This window comes from Homo sapiens, chromosome 5 (assembly GCF_000001405.40).
Source record: "Homo sapiens chromosome 5, GRCh38.p14 Primary Assembly".
NCBI classification, from domain to species: domain Eukaryota; kingdom Metazoa; phylum Chordata; class Mammalia; order Primates; family Hominidae; genus Homo; species Homo sapiens.
The window spans coordinates 112,252,856-112,269,796 of record NC_000005.10 but is presented as its reverse complement, the minus strand read 5'-3'; the positions used below and the strand labels follow the sequence as shown (position 1 = coordinate 112,269,796).

The window sequence follows — 16,941 nt, the reverse complement described above, 5'->3', positions numbered from 1 at the left end:
CAATGTATTCTGGAAACTTCCTTGTTAAGTAGATATTTTTAGTTAGCATTTTTCCCCAGTATGGTACAATGTAACTAGAGTCACAGTATAATTTATTGTCCAAACTCCTGACACTTTAGAGAATGATGAAGTGAGTTATTAATAATTATATATTCATAATAGGCATAAATTAGTACTCTCCTAGGCAGACTGGCACATAGGTTCATCCTAATTAAAACCAGAGATAAATGAGGACTCAAGCATTCCATCATAGCTTTAATCAGAGTGACACAGAAGGAAAGACTCAGCAACTCTAACTTGTTCTAATTTAAATAAAATACTAAATTTACTATAAACCCCATAAAATATACAAAATAAGCAATATATAGTTACTTTAAAATAGGCCCTGAGACGCTATAAAATGTTTAACATATGAAAATATGATTTTACTTTATCACAAATTTGCCTTATGACTCTACTAAGATGCTTGCTATAATAAAAATCAAGTTTTAAATTAAAAATTGTTTGCCTTCAGTTTTTGATTTTTTTTTTAATGCAGTGAGTTAAAGATCTGTGATATCTTTAAAAGGCAGGCTATCCAGGGAAGTTTGAGTAGATATTTTTTTTTCTTTATGAATTTCTCAGAGACAGCAAATGATGTTACCAGTTTTTAGAATTTTGTCTGTTTATCCATGTATCCAACTTGCAAATCAAGAAGTATTTATTAAGCAGCTACTATGTGCTGAGCCCTAGATACTGGGAATGCAGTTACTAATGTGATGTGGCTCCTGTTTCTTTGTATGTGTTTGTCTGTATTTCAGCTCTTTGTTTTCTAATACATATTTTTAATCTCTCTGTTCCTCTGTTCCTCTTTCCTTTTGTCTTTGAATCAGATGTCTGTCATTTCTGTATTTGGCAAAAGATTTGATTGTCTAGTCAGATGTTAAAGTCTTTTTTTTTTTTTTTTTTTTTTTTGAGAGAAGGTCTTATTCTGTTGCCCAGGCTGGAGTGCAGTGGTGCAGTTATGGTTCACTGCAACCTCAACCTTCTGGGCTCAGACGATCCTCCTGCCTCAGCCTCCCAAGTAGCGGTGACTACATGCATGTACCTGGCTGGCTAATTTGTTTTTTGTAGAGATGGGGTTATCACTATGTTGTCCATGCTTGTCTCAAACTCTTGGCCTCAAGCAATCCTCTTTCCACAGCCTCCCAAAATACTGGGGTTACAGGTGTGAACCACTGTGCACAAAGTCTTAATAGAGGAAGAGAAATTTGCATCTCTGACCCATTTCTTAAAAAAATACACTTCAGGAAAAGAAATTTGAAGATGCCAATAGAGAAGGAGGAGGGTGTAGTAAAATGCAAGTTTCCAGCAGCAAGCAGTGATAATTCTCACAGTTGTCTCTTTTGTTTATAAGGTTTTTTTTTTGTTTGTTTTTTTGAGACAGGGTCTTGCTCTGTCACCCAGGCTGGGGTGCAGTGGCGCAATCTCAGCTCATGGCAACCTCTGCCTCCTGGGTTCAAGTGATTCTGCTGCCTCACCTTCCCAAGTAGCTGGGACTACCGGCATGCGCCACCACTCCTAACTTTTGTATTTTTAATAGAGAAAGAGTTTCACTGTGTTGGCCTGGCTGGTGTTGAACTCCTGATCTCAGGTGATCCACCTGCCTCAGCCTCCCACAGTGCTGGGATTACAGGCATGAGCCACCATGCCCACTCTTGTTTATAAGGTTTTGTATTTTAAGTTCTCCTAATTTTACTTGACTCTGCTTTTCTCCTTTCCAAGAGGAGCACAGATGATCATTATCAAGTGGATTTAATGCTCAGGTGAACATTCAGGGAATTGAAAATAGTTAAATAGGGTTGGAAAAAGGTGTGTAAATTATGGAACAGGGTGGTCACTGATCAGCAGCAAGAAGTGACCCAAGAAGTAAGCAGAAGTAAGAAGAAGTCAGTTTTACAAGCTATCTTAAGGAGCTTGAACTTTATCCTAAAGGCAAAGGGAAGTCTTTTGAGGGTTGTTGTTGTTTTTTTTTTAACTGAAAGAGTGACATGATCCTGTTTACATCTTAAGAATCCTGCTTACCTCTTGGGAGGATTGGAAGGAAAGTAAGTATGAGTGATGGCAGAACAGTTAGGAGGAGGTTTTAGAAGTTTAGGAGAGAGTGACCTGGTGTAGGGGATGGAGAGAAGTATAGATTTCAGAAACAGCATATTTGGTGATTGAATGTGGGTGCCAGGGATGATTACACGTTGTTCCCAGGTTTATTTTACGTGGACATCTGAAGGCGGGGGTGCCATTTACTGAAATGGGCAGTGGGGAAACATGGGACATTGAGCAAATTTTCTCTGAAACATATGGTTGCAATAAAAGTTGATGCCAATCTTCCTGAAATAATCAATGTGGTGTCTGATATCTAACACATGTAACATTTCCTCACTAAGTGCTTTGGTTGTGTGCATTTGGAGAAGAGATATTTAATATAGCTGATTATTATAGTTCATTTCCTTTGTTTTTTTTCTTCCCTTCCCAGTGACATCGAGTCACCTTACAAAACAGAAGTCACAAAAGGACAGGCTGAAGTGTGTGAGAGTGTGTGTGCATATGTGTAAGTGCTAGCATCTGAGGATGATGTGGATGGTTAATTATGTTGGTTCATAAACCTCTGGCCCCTCTCAGTCCACTAGCAGAATAGCTGAATAAGAAAAAAAATAAAACTAATCAAAGTTACATGACATCCTGATTGATAGAGTTCCAGGGTCAGATTGCTTGGGTTCTAGCTCTAACTCTGCTGCTTAATTTGTTGTGAGGTCCTGGACAAGTTATTTCACCCCTGAGTCTATCAGTTTTCTCATCTGCACAATGGAGAATATAATATACTGTCTTCATTTTTAAAGTCTTAACCTAAGTTGTTATACATAAATTACTTAGAATGAGTTACCGTGTAGTGTTTAGAACAGTGCATGACATTACTATTATAACAGGTTTTCTTTTGGCAACATGGAATGAGCAGATAATAGGCAGAGTGTTATGTAATATAGGTTGGGTCTTTGTGATTTCTTCCTCCCAGTAAGAGCATGTTGTGGTGGCAGTGGCAGTAATGATAGCTTAAAAGAGCTTGGAGTTATCCTTTGCATTCACCCTGTGAGGTGGATGCTGTCAACTGTTCCAGTTTTGCAGGTGGGGAGGCTGGCTGTTGTAGAGGTTAAGCAGCAGCCTAAGGCTACAGAGGTACTGAATGCTGGGGCTGGGAAGTAAGCCAAGCAGTTGAACTTGAAAGCCGCACTTTTTAGCGACAACCGTGTATTGCCTCTGTAAGGTATGTTTAAGTAGTTCCTGTTCACTCAACAGCCCCCTCACACAAGAATGGGGGGTGACTTTATTTTAATTGAAGGTGATTGGTTGTTAACCTTGATTATCAGGGTCCGAAACCTCAGGTTTGAGTAGTGTAAGAGATCGTTAATCTCTCTTTTTGTTTCTCTTTTAGATATCAGTTTTTCTTGCAGGTGAAGCAAGATGTCCTTCAGGGCCGTCTGCCCTGTCCCGTCAACACTGCTGCTCAGCTGGGAGCGTATGCCATCCAGTGTAGGTGCCACTTAAGCATATTTGCCTCAGAAATGTCTGGAGAAAGTATTTGCATTTTTAAAAGGGAGTTTACATACTAAAACTCTTCTTATCCATGAGATTTTGCAAAAAAAAGAAATTGAATTTATTTGGAATTCAAGTTTTGTTCAGTGTTCCTTCGGAACAGGTAAAAGTGGAGCCTAGTACAAATCCCTTATGGTAGGTCGTATGGAGGTTTAGTCACTGGAATAGCATTGATTCTTGATTAAGTGGAGGGTCTAACAATCTGTTCTATCTACATCTCATCTGAGTTTATTGATTTTCCTCCCCACACCCTCTCCCAAGCTTCTATGTGTCAGAGATCCCATTGCTCCTGCATTGCTGTTGTGAAGAGTCTGCATGGCCAGGTGCTATTGCTAGGTTCCGCATGTGGCATGGGTGTTGAGCTCAGTGCTCTTCAGCTCTTCATGTTAATACGGTGGCTGTGTGGGGTGGCTCCAGGATGCATTGTCATTTTGGAGACTGAGGCTGAGACTACTTCCAGTGACGATTAGACACCTTCTAAGAATCAAGCTAGATGTGGGGAGAATAAGATAGCATGGTCCTTGCCCTTGTGGCACTTGCAGACTAAAAATAATCTAGAAGAAATATGCTAGGAAAAATGTCATAGATGAAGTGGGTTGGGGCTTGCAAGGTAGATTAACATAGGAAGAAGCATTTGTATAGGAGTAATATAGTGGGCTTTCTTGTATCATTTTGCTTCTTTGTGTAAATTGTAATGGGATATGTGCAGCATTGTATTGCATTTCCATGATCATTATTTCAGGCAAAGGTGTATTGAATCACATGCACTGTTTCTTGGTGTCATTATCTGAGAGGATATATTGAGGTCATGGTTGTTTTTCACTTCCAGCATTTCTAATGTTTGTACTTGAAATGCTGTTTACAACATTTTACTTCACATACGTTGTTAAGAGTAATTGAAGTAAAAACGATGATATAATTATAGTATTTGGGAATGCAAAAATAAAGAACTTCTGTTTTTAAGTCCAGAATTTGTTGCTACCATCCGTATATGCTCATCAGATTTGTTTTAGTAAAATTATTTAGTTGTCTTATATGTGAATTTTAGTAAGACATTTGAAAAAATGTTTAAGCATGTTAGGAATATTTTATTTCTATGTTTTAAGGACTATTTTCCTAAAATGGAAAAAACTATGTTATCTTTCTTTTTTAGCGGAGCTTGGAGATTATGACCCATATAAACATACTGCAGGATATGTATCTGAGTACCGGTTTGTTCCTGATCAGAAGGAAGAACTTGAAGAAGCCATAGAAAGGATTCATAAAACTCTAATGTAAGAATCATTACACCATGTCTTATTGCATCATCCATCAGTCATCATCTTCTGATATTCACAAGAAAAGTTTCTAGAATGATAAATTCTTCACCTGTGCATTTAATATTCTAATACTCCTCTTTGTATAGTTTAACTGATTTTAACTCTAAAATGCTCATCGAAAACTTCAGTAATTTAAAAAGTGTAAAGGAGAAAGTAATTTCAATATGTAAAGTTACCATTTTTTGGTCAATGGCCTTTCAGACATCTCTTTGTATGTACAATTTCCCAGAGAAAATTTGTCATACATAGGTTCATGTATTTATGATATTACATAGTGGAATCATTCTGTAAATACTAGATTTTGCAGTCTTTTTTTTTTTCAGTCACCAGTATCTTGTGAAATTAATCTTTCAGCTATAAATATGTTTAATCACAACAATTTTTAACCATAAATGCATTAATATATTCTTCAATGTTTCCTCTGTCTGAAGTATCCCAGTTCTTCACGGTTATAAGCCAAGTCCTATTCAGGCCATAGCAACGAGTCTGGAAATAGTGATGATGCCAGTGTGAAACCTTTGAGGGTATGGTGATAACACTGCATGCATTTCTGAGAGTAGACACGCTCCCCTAGTAGGATTTTCAATTCATGGCCTATAGCACTGAAGTTTTAATTTCATTATAGTTATTTTGGTTAAATTCTTTACACCGGTTAACATTGCTTTATTCCCTGTTATGTAACACTTCCTCTTGAATATACTTGGTTTCAGATCTATTATAGTTAAGGAAAAAAAACATGGCTGGGCGTGGTGGCTCACGCCTGCAATCCCAGCACTTTGGGAGGCCGAGGCAGGTAGATCACCTGAGGTCAGGAGTTTGAGAACAGCCTGGCCAAAATGGTGAAATCCCATCTCTACTAAAAATACAAAAATTAGCCGGGCGTGGTGGCATGTGCCTGTAATCTCAGTTACTTGGGAGGCTGAGGCAGGAGAATCGCTTGAACCCTGGAGGTGGAGGTTGCAGTGAGCCGAGATCACGCCGTTGCACTCCAGCCTGGGCAACAAGAGTGAAACTCCATCTCAAAAAAAAAAAAAGAAAAAAATGTAGAATTAATCTGGTCACAAAAAAATGTTTGCCTAAAGGATCCGTTTCAGTGAGTGTAGAAGCAGAAGTCAGCTGCTGAATTGCAGTCAGAGAAAGAGGCCCTCTATGTTGTATTAGCATGCACTAGAAGGCTCTCCAACCTGATTGTAGAGTCCTTCATTTTCAGATTCTGCTGAAGTAGATGGTCAGAGAGTGCTTGTTATAACATTAGGAAGGGCAATGTGTTTGGCACATTATGAGAGTACTGATTCTACTAGGGATTTCAAAGCACAATTATATATTGAAATTATCAAGGAGCTTTGGGTAAAGGCTCTCATGTGTTTTAGATGATAGTGTTGACATTGTGACTGTTATTTCTAAGAATAAAGCTTGATCAAAGTGTGGTGTGTCTAATTTGATGAACATTCTTCATGGATTTCAAAAGTATGGTACGTTGGTGGTTTTCCAGTGCATTGTGACTGAAATGAAATATGTCACTGCAGGATTTCTTAATTTTTGAGATTTGACCTCCTTTGGTTATCTATTAAAATCTCAATCCCTCTCTCTCTCTCACACACTCACACACACTCGCTTGCACATGCATATTTAACTCTTCTGTGCAGATTTCTGGCTGATGCTCACCCTCATCAGGAATGAATGCTGTTTTCTTTATATTACCACCAATGAAGATTTTGGGAAGAATTCTGTACTGTGTATTAAGAAAATGACAAGCATTTTTTACAATCTCTGTACGTTAATCAATGTATTTTCAAACTACACATGTGGTCAGGAGATCTCGATATGATCCCAGTTGGGTGGTGGCAGCCCCATTCTCTTCCTCCTGCTGACCATTGCTCTAGTTCCCTTTGCTTTGGATGGAGAGCTGCTGGTGCACAGAGACATTTTACTCTTTGTGAAGGGGATGGTGTTTAATTTGAGTGCTTATATTCTCAATAACCTCTTTAGGGGTTTCTGAAACTGAGAATTTTTAATATATGCTGGGACATTGGGGATAGGCTATAATGAGCCAGAATGGATTTGGTAAATGAAATTAATATAAGTATCACTTCAGAGTATAAAATTTTGTCACCAAGAAGCAAAGGCCTTCTTGAAATACAAGGACTTAAGTTTGCATTAGTAAAAAGTATTATTTGTTTTCCCATTGAATACAATGAAGATAGTTTGCATCCCTGTAAGTGCAGTAGCTGCTGTAAAATAAGGCTCTTTGTTTTTGTGCTGGGTGTAGGGGTCAGATTCCTTCTGAGGCTGAGCTGAATTACTTGAGGACTGCCAAATCCCTGGAGATGTATGGCGTTGACCTCCATCCCGTCTATGTGAGTAACATTTAATTAACACAAAATATTTTAAGCTGATGACATTTTTCTTAAAAAGTCACTGAGACTCCCAAAGGAAAGCTGCAGTCCTGTTGTTTAGCAAGCAGATGATACTTTTTTATCTGTTTTTCTAACACAAAGCAGCTCTCGTGTGGATTAAACCCTAATGAGTTTTGCATAAAAATCTGTGATTATATTTCCATGTGTAGAAAACAATTAAGTGGGCTTGAAAACACAATCTGGATAACAGATACAAAGGGCTTAGCTAAACATCAAAACAATATAAAATTGATGTATAGGCCAGGCGTGGTTGCTCATGCCTGTAAGTAATCCCAGCACTTGGGGAGGCAGAGGTGGGTGGATCATCTGAGGTCAGGAGTTTGAGACCAGCCTGGCCAACATGGCGAAACCCTGACTCTACTAAAAATACAAAAATTAGCTGGACGTGGTGGCGGGCGCCTGTAATCCCAGCCACTCGGGAGGCTGAGACAGGAGAATGGCTTGAACCACCTGGGAGGCAGAGGTTGCAGTGAGCCGAGATCGTGCCACTGCACTCCAGCCTGGCAACAGAGCAAGACCCCATCTCAAAAAAAAAAAAAAAAAAAAAATTGGTGTGTAATTGACTGTATTAGACAGAAAACAGGAGGATTTTTCAAAAAATAGATTTTATGGCAGCAAAACATAAATACAATCACTTGCCAGGTAAAGGATGCGTTAGGCAATAGGCCAGGTGCAACTACTGTTGATTCTGTCAATATGAAGGTTACCACCTACTGTAGGTATCACTGCATTAATAGAAATATTTTTGCAGATTTTTTTCAGTGGTTTATGAAAACTTGCTGAATAGTCATCAGTGAGCAATTACACTGAATCTGCACTGAGTGTTCTGGATCCGGGTTTTAACCTTTGAGCTACTTCTCTTAGGCTACCAATTGATTATTCTATGTCAATGAGATTAGAAAGCCTTTGCCTTTGAATTAAGAGGAATGTGGATAGCAATAGTTAAATTTTATTTGAGGAAATGAGCCAGGTACTTTATTCTTTATAGGAAATGAATTGCTGGAGAGTATTTATAGACTGATTTTTTTTAATCAATTGGATTATGGAACTCAGTTTTTAAAGAACCCTAATAAAACTTTATCTAGTGCAAATAACACTCATGCATTCATTTTGTATATGTCTTTTGCTCATTAGCATTTCCTCCAAGAAGAAACAATCTCATATTATTTTTACAGTTAGAAGCATTCCTGTTTAATGTGGCAATAAAAGCTATAGATTGTGGGGAAGAAGTAGTTCCCTGATATATTAGATTCCAATTTCATTAGGTCATTAATGCTTCATAGCACTGTCCTTTAAGAATACTGCTAAAACTGTAGAATCATTATCGTTTTACCTTCCCTCCCTTTAGCCACATTAATCTTGTTAGGTTTTCAGTTTTTAAAAGAAAACTTTCCATAGGAAATTTATAAAGAGAGTCTTCTGCAAAATGCTTCTACATTTGTATAATGTTTATCCTAATTAGAAATCACCTTCTGTTGATGGTAGAAATTTATGGCAAATGAGCTAGATTTATTAGACTCTTCAGTGCATTCCTTTAAGATTTGAATTTTAAGAACTGAAAGTGGGCATTGGCAGGTATTCCTCCAAATGTATTGCTTTATGTTCTTTGTGAATATAATTTTGCAGGTTACCATTTATCTTAGAGTAGAAATAACATTCTCACAAACAGTGCTGTGCATGTCCTTGGTATCTACTCTATGACTTTTTCATTTTAAGATCCTGTTTTTAAAATTTGGATTTATTATTGCCTTAAAATAAAGGTTCTCTAGTCTTTACCAGAAGAGATTATACTTTTACATTTTTGAGCACTCTTAAAGTTATAGGTGGAAGTAGGAAGAAACATGATAGAGACTTCAAAAAATTCAAGTGTGTGTCTGCTAGTGACTGCCTAAACTTTCTAGAGAGAGTTGGGGTGGGGATGCAGTGGGTTTCATGATTGTCCGCATCGGAGATAAATCAAGCCATTCAAAAGCACCCTTGATAGATGCCAGTGGTTCTCAGTCTTTAACTGTACAGAAGTATCACCTGGGAGTCCTGTGTTTTTTCTGCTACTTTGGCCTCTTCATTAGAGATTCTGATTTAACTGTTTCTGGTAGTGCCCAGGCATCAGCATTTTAAGCTGCACAGTGATTCCAGTTAATATGTTGCTAGGATTGAACACCACTGTGTAAGGAAAGTTGGGTAAGTCCCATTGGCCTGACTGGTAGCCCAGGCTCATTTTAATGAACTGAAGTAACAAGTATGAAGAACGCCAACAGAAAGTTTCTTTTAAAACTTTGAAAAAAATAAGCAACAAGTTAGCTACTATCATAGTGTATCTAGCTTTCTAGGCTGATGTCTTTCAAAAATTAAATCCAATATTAATGTAACAAATTATATTTGTATGGTCAATTATAGTTTGACAAAGAGATTTTATGTGAATATGTGGTTATAGGCATATGTTTGTTTTTGCAGGGAGAAAACAAGTCTGAGTATTTCTTAGGATTAACTCCGGTTGGTGTTGTTGTGTACAAGAATAAAAAGCAAGTGGGGAAGTATTTCTGGTAGGTATGGCTTGAGAACAGAGTTGGCATTCTATGTTTTGGGCTTATGGGACTCCTGTGTCAGTGAAAGAGTTGGGGAAAAGAAAACAGGTATATTTCCAGTGGGTGATAAATAAATGAGTGAAATTGGGTGTGAGTTTTCTCCTGTTGCACCTCAGCATATGTTTTCTCTGTAAATTTCAGACACTGTGATTCTAGACTCTCTTTTCCCTGGGAGCTGTGTGTAGTAGGATTTCTCACCCATTTCAGTATGTGCTGGTGGGCTGTGGATCCAGGACTATTCTGACTTTTAGCTCCAAATGGGGATGAGTTGGAGAGATTGGGAAGCCCATGGCTCTGCACTGTGTTTGGGAAGGCAGCACTGCCACAATCTAGGGATTCTAAGGTCATTGTGCATTTAGTGGAGAAGCATAGGACAATGAGAATGGAGTTTTCATTAGAGTGTATGGGGAAATCTCTCTGTCGCTGTATGTACTGGGTATGGAGCAGTATATAAAGGAGCCAGTATTCACCAGTCTTTTTCCACTGGATACTTCCCTGATTTTCTGAAAGGTTAATACTTAAAAACAGCAGCAACACCATCTGCTTTGTTTTTTAGGCCTCGGATTACAAAGGTTCACTTCAAGGAGACTCAATTTGAACTCAGAGTACTGGGAAAAGATGTAAGTTTCCAAGCCCTTAGCTTAAATTAGAAGAGGGGTGTCTTGTGTGTTCATTTGTAGCTTAAAAGACATTGTGAAGAAATGTTTTCTTCAGCTGCTTCCACATGGAACCAGGTTAATTAACTCACATGCACAACTTCTCAAGGAAGGAAAGGGAAGTGAATAGAAATGAGTGAGAGGGTAATGGAGAAATGGGCATTTTAGATTTAGCAAAGGAAAGCAAAACCTTTCTAAGGCAGAGGAGAGAATAGGAGGTGATCATTGTTGTTAGTGCAATTTGCTTTCCAGTACTCTCTGTGAGGGTAGAAGGTAGGAGTTATAATCAGAAGGGTATAGCCTGCATTCAGGACTGCCAAAATGCATTCTAATTTTGCTCTAATGTAAATTAAACAACCTTTTGGGAGTCTTACTTCTGCTCTTTTCCTCATTGAGTGTGATAGACAAACCAGATGGAAATTCTGGATGCTTTCAAGGGAGAATGTAAAAATGCCGGCCTTTGCTTTGCAACTTGGCAATGTCCTCTGGGAGTATTTGGGTAATGGGCACAGAACTTGTCAGTGCCTGGATGTGCTTTCATGCCTTGATGTGTGTCTTTGAGAAAAATGGTCGAAAGAAGGCAAGGATGTGAAAGCTTCCTTTTGATCTACCTGTGAAAATAATGCTTCATTGAAGTGCTACTAGTGTAAACCACATATTATGGGATACATGAGTGAAAATAAGATGTTTAATCCATATTTATGGGATACATGAGTGAAAACACGATATAGGAGAATCTACTCTTCTGTCTTTTTGATACTAACTTTGTGCAGAACAAAAACTAAGTGGAGTTGAATTGATTTTCTTGATTAAAGAAAAGTAAATTGGTGCTTATGCATGCACACACTGAGACACAGGAATAGGAGAGCTGCAGCTACATTTGGGGTATGGTATTTGGCAGAGTGCCTCACATGTAGTAGGTACTTCATAAGTATCTGTTGAATGATCAATGAGCTGATGCACTGAGACACTGTGTGCTGCCACATCAGAAAACCTGATGCTACTCTTTGTTCTCCTAATAGGAAAAAAACATTATCTCATCCTGAACTATATGGCATGCTGCCATTTACTGATACAATTAAAACTGGATTTTGAAATGAGTTTTAACAACTTGTAAGGAAGGGGAATTCCAGATTTTTAAAGAAATGATAGTACAGAAGCCATATAGTTGTTCTTATGGTTTAGTTTGGAGGAAATCCAATGTGTTCTTCAGCTCCTGATTAGACATCTCAATTTTAAAAGATGTGCATTATAATATAAGACTGAATTAAAATCATGCAAAAAGTAGAGTAGCTAATTAGGAGGGTTTTGTAGTTTCTCCCTATGTTGCCATTAGGTTCACATGAATAATAATTCATCTAAATAATAATAATGCAAGGAGTAAGATCTGTTAGATATATTTGAAAGTAATGTTTCAAGTTTTTTTAGCAGAATATGATAATCAAAAGACTTATGGAAGCATTACTATTATTCAGAGTATTCTTTCCTTATAAGTTATTTTTGTGAGTGAGGTCCTCTGGTGAATGACTTTCATGTTATTATTACAGTGCCTTAAAATATATGTCTACTACTGTCTCAGGATAAATATTTGGCAAAGTCCCAGCTAAGCTGAACTTTCATCTTCTTGGACTTCATGATTAGGCAAAAACAACAGCAACAAAATTGATATCATCATGTTATTTTTCAAATGACAGTCTCCATCGAATGACCCTGTTTCCTGTGTACTCGGCTTAGGTGTCTCCCACCCCCACCTCATTCCTTCCTCAGCTTTGAGATGAAATGGATGTCTGGGGAGGCCCAAGGCACTGCACACTTCTAGGTCATTAAGCTCAATGTCAGTGATCTTTAAGAAGGTGACAAAGCAGGTCATATAACTCAGAGGCTTGAATTAAAGGTTTTTTTTTATTGCTGTTAAGTATCACATTCATTTAGTCAAAGCATTCTGTTTCCTAAGTATTCTTGCTTGTGGTCTTTTCTCTTTCTCCACCAGGGTACCTCTCTGTGAGGCAGTGATTTACATAATGGTTGAATTAGGTTGATTATTATGGAGGCCTAACTGTACTCACAAATTGAATTTAAAAGCCCCTTAAAACCCATCACTTGGAACAGTAATCACATTCAGCATGAAGAATGGTTGAAATGCTTATTCTGCTGGTTTGCTGGTCTGGTCAGAAAGACTTAGTATGGTCATTGCATTTAGGCCAAATTCAGAGATGCTTTCATGCATTAAACTTCCAAATAAGTACTGTTGTTTACATAATTTTTTACAAAAAACTAAACTTTTAGTATAAAGATCGTACATGTTCACTGTAGAAAATCCAGAAAATACCCTGCAAAGAAGAAAATTAAAATTATTCATTATCCTAAAACTCAGAGGTCATGAATATTAATATTTTGATACAGTTGCTTCTAGATTTCACCCTATCAGTGTGAATGTATATATATTTATACATACATGTAGATTATCCCCTATGTGGTTTTGTACATGCTTTTGTATTTTATATTGTATCATAAGAATTTTCCCTTTTTTGCTAATTTTATTCATAGGTTCCTGCATGGTGTTTGATAAGTTTTCTTTTTATGTGTTTTACTTTTTTTCTTGCTATTGTGGATGCAATCTTTTCTTTCTATTATCTCTTCTAACTGGTTTTTGATAGGAGAATTGAAAGCTGTGGAATTTTATTTATCTCATATCTAGTCGTTTTGCCGAATTCTTGTATTCCAGCTGAGTTCTTAATTTGATTCTCATAAATTTTTATAGGTATATCACTTGCAAATGAAAATAATTTATTCCTTCAATCCTACTGTGTAAATTTCACATTTGTAGTATTAGTCCGAACTTCTAGAAGAGTACTAAGTGTTATAGCAGTATAAGGCATCCTTGATTGGCTTTCTGTTTTAATGAAAATATCACTACTGTTTTATCACTATGTGTTAGTTCTTGGTTTTAGGAATACGTGTTTTTTACTAGGTGCTGAAATTTTTTAAAGTTTATTATCAGATGGTTGATTTTCACTGAATACCTTGAGAACTAAGGCTGTTACTTGTTTACTCATTCAACAACTTAAGCTTATTTCAAAATCCAGGCAAGAGATGATAGTGTCTCTATCTCAGTGGATCAGGGTGACAACAAAGTGCGGAGAAGCTGTTGGATTATGGATTTTACCACCAGGGTTTCCTGAATGTGGGCAGATATGAGAGAGAGGAGTCCTGGTCACTTAAACGAGTTTGGCCTGAGAAGCAGGAGGTATAAGTATAGAGCTATCATCAGGTGAGGTGGGGAAGGCTATGGATAGAGCAGACTTGAGGAGGAAGATCAGGAGTCCCGTTTTGAACATGTTGAATTTGAGATGTCCTTTAGACATCTAAGGGGAGATATTAAATAAGAAGTGAGCTATGTGAGCCTGGAGTTTAGTACCAACGTCTGAGCAGAATATATAAATTTGAATATATAAAATTGGCATCTGCTACTTTTTGAAGCCACGAGACTACCTGAAATCACTAGGAGAATGAGTATAAATGAGAAAAGAAGAGAGAGAACCAGCAAAGGAGGCTGAAAAGAATCATCCAGTGAGATAGAAGGAACAGTAATTATGCTGAATGCCAAGTAAAAGTCATGTATTAAGCATGTGTCAGATGATGCTGATATGTCATACAGGGTAAAGGCTGAGAATGGGCCACTGAATTTAGGAATGTAGGAGATCATTGACAAGGTGAGTTTCAGTAGATTGGAAGAGTGAGCTTCAACCCAGCAGTTCCCCTGTTAAGTATGTGTACCCTAGAGAGGTGTTCTGTGCAGCACTTACGTAAAAGTCAGAAAAAGAAATTAACCCAGAATTCCATTAACGGGGGAATGAACAAATAAATTGATGCATATTCATTAAGAAAAACCCATAAGAGAGGTAACAGGAAGATAAGAATTGGAGATTTGGAGATGGTGAGTGTGGACAACTCTTTGGAGGAGTTTTGGCACAAGGGAAATAAACAGAAATATAGCTGGCAGGTACTGTGCCAGCATCAACATATGAGGAGGGTGACTTTCAGGATGACACCCACCGTGAAAGACTGCAGAATTTCATCAACTGATGAGATCCAAAGCTGGGAGTTTTAGGGGGAAGGAAAGAGAACGGTCTGAAAGCAGCAATGTGGAGCAGGAAGGATCCTTCCCACTTTTAGGTTCAGAGATGGAAGAACAGTGGAGACAGAAGACACAGCCATCCCTCGAGGGCTACAGTGGAAACAGGGTCTTCAGAGAGAGCCAGGGGTCTCCTAGTGCAGCAAGGTGAAGGACATATGAGAGAACAGACTGAGGAGTGAGGGGGTTTGCTGATGAGAGGTCATGAATTCCGGAGGGCACAAAGCAAGGGTTTCAGGAGTTGAGTAGTGATGAAGAAAGAGACAGGCGAGGGGGTATGCTGAGCATTACTGGGGGGTGACTGAGATATACAGAGATAAGGAGCATCATGAGAATTGGTCCAGTCGATTGGGAAGGGAGTGAGGATTGGGTTTCCATGTCTGCCTATTCCCTCTGGAGATGTGGGGTAGAAGACCTAAAGAAGGTGGGGTGGTTCCAGCACACTGCCTGGTTCAGCCTGACTCTTCTTAGGGGAGGGCCTCTCTTAACTGTGGGCATGAGCTCAGACTCAGCACTTGAGAATGGATTGAGGACTTGCGGGGAAATTGGGTGTTACATTAACTCTGGGCTTCACCCTCCATGATCGGATGTGCATTTAAGAAAGCACACTCTGGCTGCAGGGTGGAACATGCCACAGACGTGAGCACAGAGGCAGACAGAGTAGGAGATGTGATCAAGGGGAGACAAGAGGGGACTCACTGCAAAGACGGAAAGAAGTCGGCAGATTTGGGAAGCATTTAGGAGGTTAAATTGTTTCTGATTGGTAGCAGATTCAATGTTTTTGTGGAAAATAGGAATTTAGGATAATACTGGAATTTCTTGGTTTTGGCAACAAGAGGAGGATGTAATTCCTAACACAGGACTAAGCCCAGAAATTGGCATGTAGTAAGCACACTTGTGAAATAAATGAAAGAATGAATAAATGCTGCTGTGCTTACTTTTATGTATAATACCTCAGGAAACTAACCTCAGCTAAAGTTACCCCGTGTGACAGGATGTAGAACCAAAAGGTTCCTGGCAACTCTGGCTGTGAGTAATGAGATCCACTTGGCAGAACTCTCCGGCTTGCTTTAAGGAGAGTACACGGGAAGCGATGATGGCCAGGAGTCATCACTGTTTGTCAACAAGCGCAAGAGGTCTCACTTACGTTAAGCCAAGGGTTCCTTTCACATTTTACATGGTAATATAGATTTTTAAAAAGTATTTTTATTTGAAAACAACTCAAAATTTATTTAAAAAGTTGTAAAAATTAAAATATTACGAAGAACATATTCATTTACTGTTACCTAGAGTCACTTATGGTTAACATTTTACTTCACTTCCTTTGTTATTTGTGCCTTCTTTCTCTCCATACACACACAGGCCTTTCTCTTTAGAACAGCTTGAGAGTAAGTTACGTATGTCATAGACTATAAATATGTAAGTGTGTATTTCCTAAGAATAGGGATATTCCGATGTAACTGCAGTATGGTTAACAACTTAATACATTAATAATGATATAATACTTTTACCATCTAGCTTCCATATTCCAATTTTGTTGGTTAACCCAATAATGTCCTTTTTAGCATTTCTCCCCTATGGTATAGAATTCAGATAACCTCCTTTAATCTGGAACACTTTCATAGCATTTTTTTATCTTTTATAAAATTGACATTTTAAAAGAATACAGTTATACCCCACTGTTTTAAAACAGAGAGTTTCTTATTTCATGTTTTTCAGCTGTTTCCTCATGATTAGACTAAGGTTATGCATTCCTAGCTGTACAGCTGCATAGGTGAAATAGTGTCCCTCTCAGGTGTCTCATCTGGGGGCATATGGTGACCACCTGTCCCTCGTTGGCTGTCAAGTTTGATCACTCATTACAGTGTTGCCTGATTTCTCTGCTGTATAATTCCTGCTTCTCTCTTGCAACTAATAAGTAGTCTGTGGGGAGATACTTTAAATCAATGCAAATACCCAGTTCCTCTTTAAAATTCTCTGTAAATTTAGCATTCATTGAGGATTCTTGCCTGATCGTCTTCTACTAAGATGGTTGCAAAACGCTGATTTTTCTAGCTCTGTACTCCCTCCACATTTATGAGTCAGCCCTCAGCATTCCACTGAAACAAGAGCACTGCCTTCTCTCCCTTTTATTTATTGTCAGTATTTATTAACTTCTATTTTTTCAATGGTTTAAAATACATTACATACCTATTTTTTTTT

At 38.1% G+C, this 16,941-nt stretch overlaps 1 protein-coding gene and 1 long non-coding RNA gene across 17 annotated transcripts in view; one reads left to right on the top strand and one right to left on the bottom strand.

The window, feature by feature from the left end:
• Positions 1–16,941, top strand: part of EPB41L4A (erythrocyte membrane protein band 4.1 like 4A) — a 278,107-nt gene that overhangs the window by 150,139 nt on the left and 111,027 nt on the right. For 15 of the 16 annotated variants that reach the window (XR_001742173.3, NR_144931.2, XM_011543531.4 and 12 more), the window contains 5 exons: positions 3,467–3,564; positions 4,781–4,901; positions 7,216–7,303; positions 9,818–9,906; positions 10,505–10,568. Coding sequence is in view for 14 of the 16 variants with exons in the window: in XM_011543531.4 (XP_011541833.1) it covers positions 3,467–3,564; positions 4,781–4,901; positions 7,216–7,303; positions 9,818–9,906; positions 10,505–10,568 (460 nt within the window). In the remaining 2 variants the exon portion in view is untranslated. Of the gene's footprint in view, positions 1–3,466; positions 3,565–4,780; positions 6,372–7,215; positions 7,304–9,817; positions 9,907–10,504; positions 10,569–16,941 lie in introns of those variants that run through there. The other variant, NM_001347888.2, reaches the window with a different exon arrangement.
• LOC101927023 (uncharacterized) overlaps positions 12,488–16,941 on the bottom strand; it is a 29,027-nt gene continuing 24,573 nt past the window's right edge. The window contains exon 4 of the long non-coding RNA NR_110559.1: positions 12,488–12,934. This is a non-coding gene — a long non-coding RNA (uncharacterized LOC101927023). The remainder of the gene's footprint in view (positions 12,935–16,941) is intronic.